The sequence below is a fragment of the Homo sapiens genome, chromosome 17 (assembly GCF_000001405.40).
Source record: "Homo sapiens chromosome 17, GRCh38.p14 Primary Assembly".
Taxonomy (NCBI): domain Eukaryota; kingdom Metazoa; phylum Chordata; class Mammalia; order Primates; family Hominidae; genus Homo; species Homo sapiens.
This window is the reverse complement of record NC_000017.11, coordinates 78,793,428-78,809,968: the sequence shown is the minus strand read 5'-3', so window position 1 is coordinate 78,809,968 and position 16,541 is coordinate 78,793,428. Positions and strand designations below refer to the sequence as shown.

Genomic DNA, 16,541 nt, shown 5'->3' with positions numbered 1-16,541 from the left:
AGGCCGAGGTAGGAGAATCGCTTGAACCCGGGAGGTGGAGGTTGCAGTGAGCTGAGATTGTGCCACTGCACTCCAGCCTGGGTGACAGAGCGGGACTCCATCTCAAAAAAAGGAAGCAGCCTGGGCAACATAGAAAGACCCCCATCTCCAAAACCCCATCTCCAAAAAAAGTGCAAAAATTAGCCAGGTGTGGTGGTGCACGTCTGTTGTCCCAGCTGTTTGGAGGTTGAGGCAGGAGGATCACTTAAACACAAGGCTGCATTGAGCTATCATTGTGCCACTGCGCTCCAGCCTGGACAACAGAATGAGACCCTGTCTCAAAAAACCCCAGAAAAACAAAGGAAGCCCCACTTGCCACAGGAACTCCATGGGCAGAGTGATGCCCGAGGGTGGAGATTGGCTCAAGGAGAGTCCCTGTGTCAGGCACACCTGCAGGGGCGCTTCACTGACCATGAGCATTTTCATTACAAACGTGATTTTCCAAATACACTGCAAGCAGACGAGCCGTTTTACTCTAAATGACATGGTGCAAGTTCTAGTGTGTATGGAAATGTTCAGCCAGTGAAACGGCTTTGCGGTGCAGTGGAAAGATGAATTCCTTTTAGAAAACAGTATTAACAAAGAATAGAATGTAGGGAACAAAACAAAACTTGGAAGAAAATAGAGGTAAATTCTTAACCTCTGGGAAGGGAAGAAGACTTTGTATGCTTAAAGTTGAAGGATAAAATGTAGAAGAATTATGAATTGACTAAGATTTACATTTTTGTACATAATTTACTACAAACAAATGAAGCAATAAAACCTTGTAAAATATTGTCAACAAAAGGTTAACATTTGTAAACAAAAGATCTCATTCAAATGAAGATCACTTTAGTGCATGTGCAGAGAATATGAATGTTAAAGTGGTAATAGCCCAAACGAGTGTCAAATTAGCAAATGTTTTGAAAAATAGATGTGGCTGGAGTATAGTAAAAGCAGTTTGGCATTTTGCATCAGATTTCATGAAAATGAAATCTGTAATTTCATTTCCAGAAAATTAGCCTTGTAATTCCATTTCCAGAAAATTAGCATGGAGTACTAAGTACAGGAAAAGCTCAACAAATATTTTTTAAGCACCGACTCTATACCAGACCCTTGAGTTGCTGGTGAGGGCTGCAGTGGGAACGAGAGAGATAACGGGTACAGCCTCTTGGTCAAGCAGGGGAAGGCTGACATTCAGCATCTAAATACAGAATAATAAGTTATTTCTATGCAGTTGTAATAAGTGCTCTGAAGGGTAAAGGATACACACACATATACTGTACAGTATTTTTAATTTCAACAGTTGGAGACAATATAGCTTATATAAATTAACCATACAGTTAATGTGTATCAGTAGTACATAGTATATATAGTAAAATGTCAAAGACAGGCCGACAGGCAGGGTGCAGTTGCTCAGGCCTGTAATCCCAGCACTTTGAGAGGCCAGGGTGGGAGGATTGCTTGAGCTCAGGAATTCAAGGCTAGCCGGGGCAACATAGCAAGATCCCCATCTCTACAAAATAGTAATAATTATTCGGGTGTGGTGGTCTACTCCTATAGTCCTAGCCAGTTGGGCAGCTGAAGTGGGAGGATCTCTTGAGCCCAGAAGGTTGAGGCTGCAGTGAGTTATGATGACATCATCATGCCACTGCACTCCAGCCTGGGCAACAGAGCAAGGCTCTGTCTTAAAGATATTTATTGAGAGTTATCGCCCATAAAAATGCTTGAGATAATAGCTTTAAGATAAAACTGGGATGCAACTCTTCAGGCCAGAACCATTTGGAAGAAAAGATTGAAAAAAGAAAGCACTAGAATGTTAATGCATGGTTATGTTTAGGTGATGGAACTTTGCTAAATTTCTTCCTTTATACTTTTTTCTCTTCCCAAATCTTGATGAAAATGTACTGGTTTTATAGTAAAGGTGGCCATAAAGATATGTATTCAGGCCAGGTGCTATGGCTCACACCTGTAATCCCAACACTTCTGGAGGCTGAGGCAGGTGGACTGCTCGAGGCCAGAAGTTTGAGACCAGCCTGGCCAACATGGTGAAACCCCATCTCTGTCAAAAATACAGAAATTAGCCAGGTGTGGTGGTACACGGCTGTGGTCCCTGTTCTTGGGATGTCACAGAACACCAGAATTGTTCAGAGAAGCCACAGTGTCTTTACCAAGAGTCCAGATAAATAATTTATCTTGAGCATGCTAATCAGAGGCCATGCCTGCTACTAAGATTCACTGTGGCCTTAAGAAGATGTGGCCCAGCTGAGACTTCTCGCTTCCTCAGTTGTGTTTTCTGCTTTGGTCTCCTTAGCGACAAGACTCTGGGACGATGAAGAAGCCGCACACCACTGAAGAGATTGGTGTGCCCATATCCAGGAATGGCTCCACCCTGGGCCTGAAGTCCCAGAACGGCTGCATTCCTCCAAAGCTGCCCTCGGGGTCCCCTTCCCCCAAACTCTCCCAGACACCCACACACATGCCAACCATCCTAGACGACCCTGGAAAGAAGGTGAAGAAGCCAGCTCCTCCACAGCACTTTTCCCCCAGAACTGCTCAGGGGCTGCCTGGGACCAGCAACTCGAATAGCAGCAGATCTGGGAGCCAAAGGCAGGGCTCCTGGGACAGCAGGGATGTTGTCCTCTCTACCTCACCTAAGCTCCTGGCTACAGCCACTGCCAACGGGCATGGGCTGAAGGGGAACGACGAGAGCGCTGGCCTCGACAGGAGGGGCTCCAGCAGCTCCAGCCCAGAGCACTCGGCCAGCAGCGACTCCACCAAGGCCCCCCAGACCCCCAGGAGTGGAGCGGCCCATCTCTGCGATTCTCAGGAAACGAACTGTTCCACCGCTGGCCACTCCAAAACGCCGCCAAGTGGAGCAGATTCTAAGACGGTGAAGCTGAAGTCCCCTGTCCTGAGCAACACCACCACTGAGCCTGCAAGCACCATGTCTCCTCCACCAGCCAAAAAACTGGCCCTTTCTGCCAAGAAGGTGGGTGTGTGGGGGTCTCGCCGCTGCTGTGTATCAGGAGAGCTCCAAGAGTTGCTTGGTTGTGGTTTGAAGGGAGTGAGAACATTGTCCGGGGGCTTTGGCCTCCCTCATGTTAGAGGAACAAAGTGTCTTTTAGTCGTTCCCAGCCATTTGCAATTAAAGAACGGCTATCTTGGGGTGAAGGCAGTATGGGGTGTTGAGAGAGCCCTGATCTGGTGATGCTCATGTGACTCATGGAGGTTTGGGCAAGGTAGCAGTTCCCTGTTTTCACAGTAGGTGGAAGATCCTGACTGAACCCGAGGGAGGGTGGGCCCCACCAGCACGTGTCCCTAGCAGGGGTGGGGCGGGCAGGAAGCGCAGAGCCCCAGTGGGGTGCCCGGCACCTCTGCAGCAGGAAGCTTGGGCAGCCACGGCACGTGGATGTGATTGTTGTGCTGAGATTTTTGTTTAAATTTTCTTCCTTTTTTTTGTTTCTAACCAAAAATACTTTTCTGGTTCTTCTTCTACCATTCCCCTGCCCCTCACCTCCCCTTTTTGTCTTCTTCTGTCTCCTCATCTTTTTTTCTGGGCTCTTTTGTTTTTATTTTCATTTTTTGTTACTTTTGTTTTCCCTCTTCACTCACGGAAACCTTTTTTAGACCACCAAGTTTTTATTTATGTCGATAACTGCAGGCCAGCACCCTGTGGAGGGCGACCGGCAATGACCTCCGTCCACCTCCCCCCTCACCATCCTCCGACCTCACCCACCCCATGAAAACCTCTCACCCCGTCGTTGCCTCCACTTGGCCCGTCCATAGAGCCAGGTAAGCTTTGGGCCGGGATCTTCTGGGTGCCAACTGGTTCTCCCTGTGGTTGCGTGTGCTTGGCTGGTGAGGAGTTGGACGAATCGCCAACCTCACAGGACAGACAAAGCATTGGGGCAGCCAGGAGGTACAGGGGGGCGTCACTGACCAAGATCCCCCTCTTCTGTGTTCCCCTGTGGTAAAGGAGCTTTGGGTGGTGAAGGCAGTTCGGCCTCTGCAGTCCTGATGTCTTAGTTCTGTCTTTGTTGGTGGTCTGTCTGCGACATCCTTGTGGTGATGTGGTGTGCTGGGGACTGACCTGTCCTGTATCCCTACCAGCCCCATGACAGTACTTCCCAGTCGAAGAGAAAGGCGAAGTGAGGCCTTGGCGAGAGGCTTGAGTGAGCTCGGAGTCCCGAGCGTTTTTTGTGGGACGTCTTGCCTGCTAGCGTCATGCAGGTTAAGAACTGTCTCAGGGCTCTCGGGTTCCTCTGCAGACACCTGCCAGAGATGCAGCCCCTTCCCTGTGCATGTGGGCCCTGGTCCGCAGGGGCTGCCTGCGTCTCTTAGGTGCCTCGAGTGGCAGGAAGTTGAGAGTAACTGGTAAATGGCTGTCTGGAAGCCGCTGGGAGTGGGGACGGAAGCAGTGAAAGATGGGGTGAGTCATGAGGCGGCCTGCGGGGACTGTACTGGTGGCCTCGGCGCTGGGTTCTAGTTCTAGAATCTCCAGTGCTACATGAGGGCGAGGTATGACTGTGCGTCGCCCACAGCCTCTGCCTTACTCTCCTCTCACATATACACACACAAGCACACCTCTGCCCTATACCTAGCATAAGATTTGTGTACGTGGGAGGGCCTTAAGTGTTTGGGTGTTTTTCGTTTCTTGCCTTATAAGCTTTTTTGGAAAAGATTCCAGAAGACACTTAGAGTAATCAAACATCGTGCAGCTGGCATGGCCCTTATAGTTTGTTTAGATGATGACGGGGGTCCTGTTTTCTGCAGGAACCCTGGGAGGTGGGCTTTGTGGTCCCAGCTCATTGACAAATGAGAACATGGTGGTTCAGAGTGGGAAGTTAATTTTCCTAGAGACACATAGCTGGCAAGAGGGAGCCTCACTGGGTTCGGCACTAGATCCTGTCCCGGACACGCCTTGCTCATGATTCTGCTCTACGCATCTGTGTCCCGGTTTCAGCGTCCTAATGACGGTAATGTGGAGGTGTCATTAGGCCAGCTCAACACTTGCTTTCCTTATGAGGCTCATTTCCTGCCCGGGAACACCCTGAGACTTTCGGAGGTTGGAAAATAAATCCTCACGGGATCTTTTTTTTCCTTACCATTTATTGTTTCGTGAAGGTTTCCTCCCTTAACACATTTGTATTAAAGATGTTTTTACATTAGAGCTCGCAAAAATACTTGAATTGCTTGGTGACAAGAAACTAAGGCATGGAACAATTCTTATTAACTTTGCCTTTTAAAAAAAAAAAAATTTTTTTTTTGACTTTTAAAATCACGTGTTGGCTTGCTTTTTTTTTTTTTTTTTTTTTTTTTTTTAAATCTCAGGGATCAGTTATTTTAAGTTCCAGGGTACATGTGCAGGATGTAAAGGTTTGTTACAGAGGTGCCATGGTGGTTTGCTGCACCTATCAACCCACCACCTAGGTAACTTTGTTTTTTTTTTTTTGTTTTTGTTTTTGTTTTTTTGGTTTTTTTTTTTTTTGAGACGGAGTCTTGCTTTGTCGCCCAGGCTGGAGTGCAGTGGCGCGATTCGGCTCACTGCAACCTCCACCTCCCAGGTTCAAGCGATTCTCCTGCCTCAGTCTCCTGACTAGCTGAGATTACAGGCGTGTGCCACCACGCCCGGCTAATTTTGTATTTTTAGTAGAGATGGGGTTTCACCATGTTGGCTAGGCTGGTCTCAAACTTCTGACCTCAGGTGATCCAGCCACCTTGGCTTCCCAAAGTGCTGGAATTATAGGCATGAGCCACTGTACCTGGCCAACTTTGCATTTAAATAGATGTTGAATTAATTGTTAGCTTTCTTTCAAACATACATGTAACTTAATGTGTATCTGAAAACTACAGGGTAAAAGCCTTTTCAGATTTTTAGGTGAAAGGGAGGGGAGTGAGGGTAGACAGAAGGAACAGCTCTGCTGGGTCTTTCAGAACATCCTCTCCCTGTTTCCTGGCTGTCCCCACAGGGCTGTGTCACCTGCTCCCCAATCATCCAGCCGCCTGCAACCCCCCTTCAGCCCCCACCCCACATTGCTGTCCAGTACCCCCAAGCCCCCAGGGACGTCAGAACCACGGAGCTGCTCCTCCATCTCGACGGCGCTGCCTCAGGTCAACGAGGACCTTGTGTCTCTTCCACACCAGTTGCCAGAGGCCAGTGAGCCCCCCCAGAGCCCCTCTGAGAAGAGGAAAAAGACCTTTGTGGGAGAGCCGCAGAGGCTGGGCTCAGAGACGCGCCTCCCACAGCACATCAGGGAGGCCACTGCGGCTCCCCACGGGAAGAGGAAGAGGAAGAAGAAGAAGCGCCCGGAGGACACAGCTGCCAGCGCCCTGCAGGAGGGGCAGACACAGAGACAGCCTGGGAGCCCCATGTACAGGAGGGAGGGCCAGGCACAGCTGCCCGCTGTCAGACGGCAGGAAGATGGCACACAGCCACAGGTGAATGGCCAGCAGGTGGGATGTGTTACGGACGGCCACCACGCGAGCAGCAGGAAGCGGAGGAGGAAAGGAGCAGAAGGTCTTGGTGAAGAAGGCGGCCTGCACCAGGACCCACTTCGGCACAGGTAAGGGCAGGAGCAAAGTGGCATCTGTCTACCTCTGACGAGAAACAAAGCAAAACCACAGAATCTACCCCCAAGTAGGTATGGTCTGGAAACGTAGTCTGCTTGCGTGGTTTTCTAAAATGTGGATTTGTGATCAGATGTCTCCTCTGGCTGGGTGTGGTGGCTCACACCTGTAATCCTAGCACTTTGGGAGGCTGAGGCGGGTGGATCACTTCAACCCAGGAGTTTGAGACCAGCCTAGGCAATATGGAAAAGCCCTTTCTCTACCAAAAACAAAAATTGGTTGGGCATGGTGGCATGCACCTATAGTCCCAGCTACTCAGGAGGCTGAGGTGGGAGGATGGTTTGAGCCCAGGAGGTGGAGGTTGCAGTGAGCTGAGATCGCGTCACTGCACTACAGCCTGGGTGACAGCTAAACCCTGTCTAAAAAAAAAGAAAAAAGAAAAAATATCTCCTCTGATAAATACCAGTGGATTGATCCTTGAAGCGACAGTGGTGTGGACAGTAGTGTCCATCATTGTATGTGCAGGGCCGTTCAAGGATGCTGGATCAGGTGTCCCGGGCCAGGCCAGGATCTGCCGTTTCATCAGGTCACAGTAGCCTGCACATTGGCGTCAACAGGCTTGGCTCAGTTAGGATGGGAAACGCGACTGGTTTTCCCTCTACTGTCTCCGTGGCTGCGTGTGGAGCGTCCGCTAATGCGTGTGGGGGGAAGAATGTTGCAGGGACCTGCGTGCACTGGGTCACAGCTGGGGTGGCACCTTCTCCATGTTGCAGGCGGGTGTCTGTGCGCTCCTGCTCCCCTTCCAATTTGCTCAGAGCTGACTGCTGCCTCTCACTTCCAAGCAGCTGCTCTCCCATGGGTGATGGTGATCCAGAGGCCATGGAAGAGTCTCCAAGGAAAAAGAAAAAGAAAAAAAGAAAGCAGGAGACACAGCGGGCAGTAGAAGAGGATGGGCATCTCAAATGCCCAAGGAGTGCCAAGCCCCAAGATGCTGTTGTCCCCGAGTCCAGCAGCTGCGCACCATCCGCGAATGGCTGGTGTCCTGGGGACCGCATGGGTATGCACCGGGCGAGGGGGTGGGAACCGCATGGGTGTGCACCGGGCGAGGGGTTGGGGGACCGCATGGGTGTGCACCGGGCGAGGGGTTGGGGGACCGCATGGGCGTGCACTGGGCGAGGGGTTGGACCGCGTGGGTGTGCACCGGGCGAGGGGGTGGGGGACCGCGTGGGTGTGCACCAGGCGAGGGGTTGGGGGACCGCGTGGGTGTGCACCGGGCAAGGGGGTGGGGGACCGCGTGGGTGTGCACCGGGTGAGGGGGTATTGGGGAGTGCACAGGCTGAGAGCAGCGTCTACTGCATCTGAGCTTGGGAGGGTCTGGGAGAAGATGTGGAGGGCCCTGGGACCCTACCAACCTTCACCCCCCACCCCCGAGTCTGCTCCCTTGGGTGATGGGGTTGAAGCTTCCTCATGTGTCACAGCATTTGACTGAAACAGCCCCATGAGAGAGGTTACAGTGCACATGAACTTTAAAACATTCTGTGAATGCCAGTGGGTCTTCCGATTCAAAGCTGTTCTGTCTACAGCTTCTCACGGAATGACTCCCTGAACTCCCAGCCTGAGTTTTTTTCTGTGATGGTTGAATTTAGAAGAGTTGGGTTCAAAAGTGAATCCTCCTCTCCCTCTATGTAGCTGGGCCATTCAGAACATAGCACGGTTTGCTTGCTGTTGGGGACCTGTGTGCTGTGGCTGTCCTTGGGCACCACCCCTCAATCGGAGGGTGTTTTGTTTTCTTTAGGGCTGGCTGGGGCATGCCTTGGCAGGCACCCGCCACAGAACACATTTGTTAAGTGAAGGGGAGAGAAAGTCCTGGCTGCTTGGTATAGGGGGCCGAGCTTGAGTGAGGCCTCCTCTGCAGTCTGGAAGGTCTGATTATGGCAGTGCATCTGGGGGTCAGCAGGACCTTAGAGACTGATTTGTATTTATCCAACTCTTAAGAAAGGAATTTATCGTTAAAAATGAAATGGTATGAAATAAATAGCAAAACGTGGGTGCTAGCTAGTGCCGACTGAGTTTGCTGGCCAGCATGCTCTCAGAAGTACTGCCCTGGCCGGGGGTGGTGGCTCACGCCTGTAATCCCAACACTTTGGGAGGCCGAGGCGGGCGGATCACAAGGTTAGGAGATCGAGACCATCCTGGCTGACACGGTGAAACCCCGTCTCTACTAAAAATACAAAAAGTTAGCCAGGCATGGTGGCGGGCGCCTCTAGTCCCAGCTACTCGGGAGGCTGAGGCAGGAGAATGGTGTGAACCCAGGAGGCGGAGCTTGCAGTGAGCCGAGATTGCGCCACTGCACTCCAGCCTGGGTGACAGAGTGAGACTCCGTCTCAAAAAAAAAAAAAAAAAAAAAAAAATACTGCCCTAACATGGCACCAGAGCTGTGCTCCGTGCCACCCTCGGAGCGAAGTGGAGTTGGCTTGTTAGTGCAAGGGACATCACTTGAGCACTTGCGGTGCGCCAGGGTCCATGCCAGGTGCTGGTTGTGTCTACTGAAGTGCGCCCTGGGCCCTCGGGGCTCCCTGGCAGAGCCAGAACCACACAGTAAGGGCTCATGCTCAGCAAGGAGGCGCTGGGGGCCGCATGGGCTCTTGCAGTCCTGTGCACCTGAGGAGAGTGGCTAAATGGGCAGGGCACCAGACCCAAGGGCAGGAGGCGCAGCACGTTGGGAGCAGGCAGGCTGCTCTGCATGGCCGGGTCCCTGGGCTGTGTGGATGAGATGGGAACCATGGAAGCCACTGTGTGGGGGCAGGGGACACTTAGCCTGGAGCTCACTGAGGAATTGGAGGCAGGGAGAAATGAGGTCAGATTTGTGTGAAGGGAGGTGAGTATATTCCAGGGGCTATGTGGCTAGCTGGGCAGAGGACGAGTTCAGAAAGGGTTTCTAGAACCCGATGAGGGTGGTGAGTGCTGTCCTGGTCCCGAGGTGCTGGGTGGACCTGTGCGGTGTTGCTGATGGGGACCAGGTTCCCCCTGGACAGGGCTTAGGAGGTCGGGCCCCTGATGGCAGCAGCCAAGCTTGGCCGTTCCCTCCACCCCTGTGGCCATCCAGGTGTCAGGCTGGTCCTGGGGCATGGGCCTCTCCCGTAGGTGAGGTGGATTCCATTTAGATCTAGTTCTCTTCTCTCCTTCTGTCAGACTGAGGACTTAACACTACTGGTTAAAGGGGTTTTGGAGGGTTTTTTTTTTTTTGGTTTTTAGCTTTTTGTTATTTTCCATGTTTTCTTTCTCATGAATTGACTTGGACAACAGCCTTCTCTATTGTGTCAGGTCATTAGTAAATTAAGCATGTAAGCATTAGTAAATAAGCATTTAGGCTGGGCGCCATGGCTCATGCCTGTAATCCCAGCACCTTGGGAGGCCAGTGGGAGTCCCAAGGAGTTTGAGACCAACCTAGGAAACATAGTGAGACCCTGTCTTTAAAAAAAAAAAAAAAAAAAAAAAAAAAAGGCAAGCATCCACTTACTGTAAGTTGTTTTATAATTTAAGGTGTGCGATTGCTTCCCCAGTGGGTTATTTTAAACGTCTGTAAATGTTTCTTGGCTGCTCCGATTGCAGGGCTGAGCCAGGCCCCTCCTGTGTCTTGGAATGGAGAGCGGGAGTCTGATGTGGTCCAGGAACTGCTCAAATACTCATCTGATAAAGCTTACGGGAGAAAAGGTACTGATTTGGAGACAGGACTTCTGTTTGCCTTTCATTGGTTGGTTTTGTAGGAGGGAAGGGTGTGGAATGGATCCTGGTGCACTGTGAGTGTGGCGGGCGGGCATCGCTCGGCTTTGAGAATGGGAAGAGGAATCTCAACACTGGCTGGAGTCCTCTTTAAACCCTCAGCCGTGGCACGAAGGTGGCTTCTGTCCGTGGCAGGATCCAGAACAGCTGCTTCTGAGGGTTGGGGCAGGGTGAGGAGCCCCACACATGCTGTGTCTTGGGTAGGGAAGGGGCAGAGTGACGAAGCTCTTCCAACCTGGGTAATGTCACTTCTTGCTCAGAGCATGTTTTTATTCAGACTTCGAGACCAAACATGACATCTTTGTTCCTCAGACGAGGGCATGGGTTTAGAAAGAACTGAACTCTTTGGCTGTGGTTTAGGGTTTAGCTAAGAGGGCATCGCTGGGGGTTCCATGCTGACCGACCACACATGGGCGTCGAGCCGTCCTCCTCTTGTCCTTCTCTTCACCACAAGGTGGCACTCAAAATTGTTGACTAATTATGAGTAGACTAGTTGGTAAATGACACTCTTGAAGTGAAGCCACAGGGGACCTGGGAACCTGCACTCGTGCTGACCCCCGTGTCTGCCTGGTAGTTCTGACCTGGGATGGCAAGATGTCGGCGGTCAGTCAGGATGCTATTGAAGACAGCAGACAGGCCCGGACTGAGACCGTGGTTGATGACTGGGACGAAGAGTTTGACCGAGGGAAGGTATGATGTGTGATGCTGACCACAGGCTTGAGGGAGCAGGGCGGCGTGGCTCAGCTCAGAGCCGGGGCAGTTGGAGGTGGCGGCAGTGGCATGAAGCGGCCGAGCATGAGAAGAGCCAGGCTGCCCAGGCCTGTCCGGGCGTGTGGCCATGGACAGGGCATGCATCCTCGCAGCTTCCGCCCCTTTGTCAATAGGGGGACTGCAGGTCGCCGTGCACAGGGGTCATTGTGAAGAGTGGGTCTCCAGAGAGCTCATGAGAGCCCGGCCTGTGTGCAGGACCTGCATGCAGCATGGAGCCCCGTGGGCCAGGAAAGAGCCGTTTTTGGGAACTGTGATGCCTGTGATTCTTGGTCTAGGAAAAGAAAATTAAAAAATTTAAGAGAGAGAAGAGGAGAAACTTCAACGCCTTCCAGAAACTTCAGACTCGACGGAACTTCTGGTCTGTGACTCACCCAGCAAAGGCTGCCAGCCTCAGCTATCGCCGCTGACTGTGCCCCTGTGGAAGGAGGTCGGTTCCGAGGGGGTGGGTGTAAGGGTGAGGTGGGGGTGTGTGTGCCGTGTATGTGTGTAGGGGTGTGGTGGGGTGTGGCGTGTGTGTATGATGTATGTGGGCTGTGTATCTGGCACATGTGTGTTGGGTGGTGTGTGTGGTGTGGGCGCGTCTGTGGTGTGTGTCCTAGTCACTTGGAGAAGGGTGTGTGTGGGATGCGTGTGTATAAGGGGGTGTGTGTGGGATGCGTGTGTATAAGGGGGTGTGTGTAGTGTGTGTTGGGTGTGGGGTGTGTACACCTGGCATCTGTGGCATGTGTTCTGGTCACTTGGAGAAGGGCATGTGTGGGGTGTGTGTGGGATGTGGGTTGTGTGTATATCTGGCATGTGTCCCAGTCACTTGCAGAAGGGTGACTTCTTGCCAGCCGCATCGAGATGCCATGCATTGGGTTCCTAGGTTGGACTCATACCCGAGGGTGGCAGTGGGAAGATTCGGGTCTCGTTTCTCTCTGTCAGGACTACCGTGGTTTGTTCTGCAGCCTCCTGGAGACAAGGCGTCCCTTCCCGGGAGCTGTCGGTCTGGATCTGAGGGAGCTCTCTGTGTGGGCTCTGCTGCGCTGGGAGCCTGTCACGGTAGGAGCTCTCCCGGTACCAGTGTCCACAGACCGCCCAACACAGAGGCTTTGAGGCTTCTCTAGATCGGAACCTCTTTGGTGACATTCCCGACCAGCCCTGCAAGAGAAACGACAGTGTGTGTGTGAGCAGAGGTGGCCGCACACCTGCTGGACATCTTTGCCAGGCTGTGCCTTCTCATGTTTCATAGACAGTGGTCTGTGCTGGCAGAGGCTGCTGCCCCTGGTTGGGGCTATCAGGAGAGTGGGGGATGGTGGCCACATGTCCCCCAGGTGGTCTCCCGGTGCATAGCTGGTGGCTCTGGGCAAGCCATCCCTTGCTTCTCGGGGCTGACGCCACCGTTGTGTCCGAGCCCGCCCTCCCCTGCTTCCTCAGCGGGACCCCTTCATCTGTTGGCCTTACCTGTCCTCAGAAAGGAAGAGGTGACCCCACCCAGCCACCTCTCCCTTTTATGGAACTCGAGAGGGTGGCCCTACTGTGCACCCCTTCCTTGTGAGTAGCTCTCAACTGTCCTGGAGAGCAGAGGCTATTTGGGGTCGGAGGAGCCCTCGATACCTGCGAATACATCTGCTTTCCAGGCTGCTGTTTATTCTGAGACGACTGTGCTGTAGCTTCCCTTGCAGCTGCAATAACCCGCAGGTCTTCACTGAGGTGGAGGCTTTGGGGTAGAATTCTCCATTTATTTTACTACTTAATACAAAACATTTATTTTTGACCAGTCCTGTGGCTTCCATTAGCAATATGTTTCCTTTCCCAAATATGCAAATAGTGGCTTTGTTTGCTCAATTTTGTGAGTGCTTTGGAATTTAAATGATTGTATAACTCAAGAAGATTACTTTTCTATGTTGCTCAAGCTGTGCCTGCCAACTTGTAACTTAATAAATACAGGAAATCCTCAGAGAAGGTGATATTTTCAGGAAAAAGACAAATGCCCTCATAGTAGTGGGAAGTGTGAAGGTGACCGTGAACATCCTTCCTCATCGGGTCTGTCCCCGTCATTTCCTCCCGGAGTCGTCGCAGGTGGAGATGGACAACGTGGTGTTGGACTTAGACCTCCTTCAGTGTGGCTCTGCTGGGCCAGAGGCATCCTGCTGTCCCGGGTGGCTGCCTCGCTGTCTGCACCCCCTCTCCCTGGGGCAGCTTTGCTTCCTGCCCCTGTGCTCGGGGCCTGGGTGGTTACTGGCGTGTAGATGGAATTGCTTTTTTAATATGGGAAGATACATTTATTTTTTTCCATGTGGGTGGGTGTCTCTTTTTGGATTTTCTTCTGTTTTTACGTTTCTCTTCTTAGAAGGGTGGGAGAGAATCAAGCTCCTGTGGCCACCTGTGTCCCAGCAGCAGTGAGTGGAGCTGCTCAGGGTGCCCTCTCCTGCGGACCAGTCTCTGAATGTTCAAAGATGAGGGCCTGGCTTCCGTGCTCTGGCTTTGTAACTTATCTGGAAGGGAAAGCACATGCCTTCACGGGCAGGGTATGTTCCTTTTCTTCTCGGGGTGTTGACTTGCATTCCTGTGTGAACTGTTCCCTCTGCCATGTTTACCGTGTGATGTTCTGTAGTTGAAAATGTTAGTTGTCTGCTGGCACAGAATTTATCTCGTTCCTTTCTCTCCCTTCTCTCCTCCAAATCAGTCTCTTCCCTTCTCCACTAGATAACTGTAAAACCTTTTCCTGGGGTACATACATTCGTTAACTCTTGGGCAGTGGTGAGCACGAGATGACTTTCTGCAGCGTTTATCACTGTTGGGTGGAGTCACGTCCCTTCCCTCCACCGAAGTCATCAACCAGATAGGGAAGGGAAAGATGAGGCCCAGAAAACGAGTTCAAACTCTAGGTCTTGTACACGTATGTAAGTAAATGTCAATAACCCAAGCCTTTGTCATAGCAGTCACTTGGTTGACTTAGGATCTGGGTCTGTTGAATTTTGTGCTTGGGAATGGAGCTGGAGGGAGTGGGGCCTGTGTACAGCAGCTACCTCTCCCAGGTCCTCTCACTTGCCTGCCCCGCGTCCTGGTTGCATGGCCGCACCTGTGTGTGTGCAGAGGTCTGTGTCCCATCCTCTGCACCTCCTTTCCGGGGGCCTGGGGAGCCCCACGTGTTGCCAAGATCTTGGTGCAATAAAATACTCCGGTTTTGTGAGTTCTGTGTCTTTGTTGGTTTCATTTGATTTTTTTTTTTTAAAGTACATCCCAACCACAGTCTCGCTGATTCCACCTGTCCTGGAAGTTGAGGCTGGGCTAGGAGGGGCAGGTAGGTCCCTGCAGGGAGCTCAGTGACCAGGAGGTTATGAGAGCAGCCCTAGTGAATAGGTGACCAAGAGGCTGAATGAACCCCGGGGCGCAGGCGGGTTGCCGTGCAGCGGCTCCTGTTGAGAATGCTGCTCTGCAGCTGTTACCTGATGTGTGTGGCTCCCCGCATCTCCCTTTAGCAACTTGGAAGTAAGCTTTCTCCACCCCACGGTATCCACCAAACACAGGGCATCATGTCTTCGCTTCTCTTTAGGGGTTTGGCTGGACACCCCAAAATGAGGACAGCCAAGTAAGAACAAGCGAGGTGAGGCAGCTCCTGCATCCAAACCAAAGGGGTGGCAGAGAGCAGGGCACACTGCTGACCCAGAGGCCTTCCTGCCAGCCAGGCTGTGTCTGAAGGCATTTGCGTTGTAGCCTGGGCAGCGGTTGAGGGGGTTCTGAGGCTTGGAGAGGTGGTGATCTGACACCAACGCTGGGTGCAGTGGCGACATGGGCGAGGCTGTGGTTTTTACTTTTTTTTTTTTTTTTTTTTCCCGAACAGAGTCTCCCTCTGTCGCCCAGGCTGGAGTGCAGTGGCACGATTCTCCGCTCACTGCAACCTCTGCCTCCCGGGTTCAAGCAATTCTCCTGCCTCAGCCTCCCAAGAAGCTGGGAGTACAGGCACGCATCACCACGCCTGACTAATTTTTGTATTTTTAGTAGAGATGGGGTTCCACCATGTTGGCCAGGCTGGTCTCTTAACTCCTGACCTTGTGATCCGCTTGCCTCAGCCTCCCAAAGTGCTGGGATTCCAGGCGTGAGCCACTGCGCCTGGCTGATCTCCATCTCTTGACCTCGTGATCTGCCCGTCTTGGCCTCCCAAAGTGCTGGGATTCCAAGTGTGAGCCACCGCGCCTGACAGGCTTTTCCATTCTTAACTGCCGTTTCCCAAACACTAGGGCCACTTCTGGGTGTGTATAAAAGTGAACACACTCACGTCGTCTCGCAGGCGGCGGGCAGAGTCCCACCGGCAGGACTGACGGCTCCAGGGCAGGGTGAGTGCTGTTAGGGAGATGCAGGGAGGCCATGAGGAGCCTGTCATGAGCTCTGCCTGAAGCACCGTGGGGTGAGGTGACATTCTGAAAGGGGGCTGGCAGTGGGAGCTGGCCAGCAGGACTCAGCTGGCTAACTGTAAGTCAGGTGCAAAAGCGCAGGGCAGGTTTTGTTTGACAGTTTGGACAAGAAGGGTTACCAAGGTCTGATGTGCTTTTTAGACTCCTGAGGCTGATAGTGGATTCCAGGCTGCCTGATGGCCTGAAAGGCGGCTGGTGGAGTGCAGAGAACAGCAGGTGAGCATGACCAGCCGCCAGGTTGGCTGAGAAGTGGCCAAGGCTAGAGCTAAGAGATTGGCATTAGTAGCATAGGCTAGAAGTGAGGTCACTTGGATATTTAGGAGATGGACTCAAGAGGTGAGATGACAGATAGGGTGGAATGTTCTGGGTGGAGTTTAAGATGATTTCTGCTAGGGTGGTTAGTTGGGTTCGGAGGCCAAGTAGTAGCCAGGGAAGCAAGCGGCTCACCGATGGTTTCAGGAAGGCCTTCAGGTGGTGAGAGATTCAATCTGACTTAGTGGACGTGTTGGCATCTTACCAGTACAGGGAACCCAGGGAGAATCCTAGGCATGGGAAGTAGGCAGTGGGTGAACTCCGAGTCTTCTAGTTAGGAAAAAGCCCAGGTGTCTGGACACTGGGGAATCAGGTGGGCATCTGTTTATCCCTAACATACTGTTAGGGCTCATCATAACTGTAATAGTGACCTTAAGGGCAGTTTAACACTGGACGGTGCTGTGAGAATCCCTGCCTCAAGTCTTGGTAGCTTGGACAACCTCAGCGCAATGAGGATGTGGGTACGCCAAGGACGTGGTGGTAAAGGAGGACTGTGTGTGGACAGGTCACGTGACATGCAGACGGGCAGCTTTCTGTGTCTTGTCAGCTGAGCTGACTCCCTGGAGTCACACTCTTGCCCGGAGGTGGCCCTGCTGCTGCTTCGTGCAGATCCCGCCTTGGCTTGGCCCCCTGCTCCTTCCATATCTGGACTGGGGATGACCCTTGGAGAAGATCATCTGGGTGCCATGG

General features: G+C 52.3%; 1 protein-coding gene across 35 annotated transcripts in view; it reads left to right on the top strand.

Annotated features, from left to right (window-relative positions):
* USP36 (ubiquitin specific peptidase 36) overlaps positions 1-16,541 on the top strand; it is a 54,059-nt gene that overhangs the window by 31,471 nt on the left and 6,047 nt on the right. For 8 of the 35 annotated variants that reach the window (NR_169581.1, NM_001385178.1, NM_001385180.1 and 5 more), the window contains 8 exons: positions 2,333-3,010; positions 3,683-3,813; positions 5,991-6,584; positions 7,434-7,645; positions 10,201-10,302; positions 10,946-11,061; positions 11,418-11,569; positions 12,090-14,317. Coding sequence is in view for 30 of the 35 variants with exons in the window: in NM_001385178.1 (NP_001372107.1) it covers positions 2,333-3,010; positions 3,683-3,813; positions 5,991-6,584; positions 7,434-7,645; positions 10,201-10,302; positions 10,946-11,061; positions 11,418-11,549 (1,965 nt within the window). In the remaining 5 variants the exon portion in view is untranslated. Of the gene's footprint in view, positions 1-2,332; positions 3,011-3,648; positions 3,814-5,990; positions 6,585-7,113; positions 7,646-10,200; positions 10,303-10,945; positions 11,062-11,417; positions 11,570-12,066; positions 14,318-16,541 lie in introns of those variants that run through there. The other 27 variants (XM_011525065.3, XM_024450845.2, XM_024450846.2 and 24 more) reach the window with 13 other exon arrangements.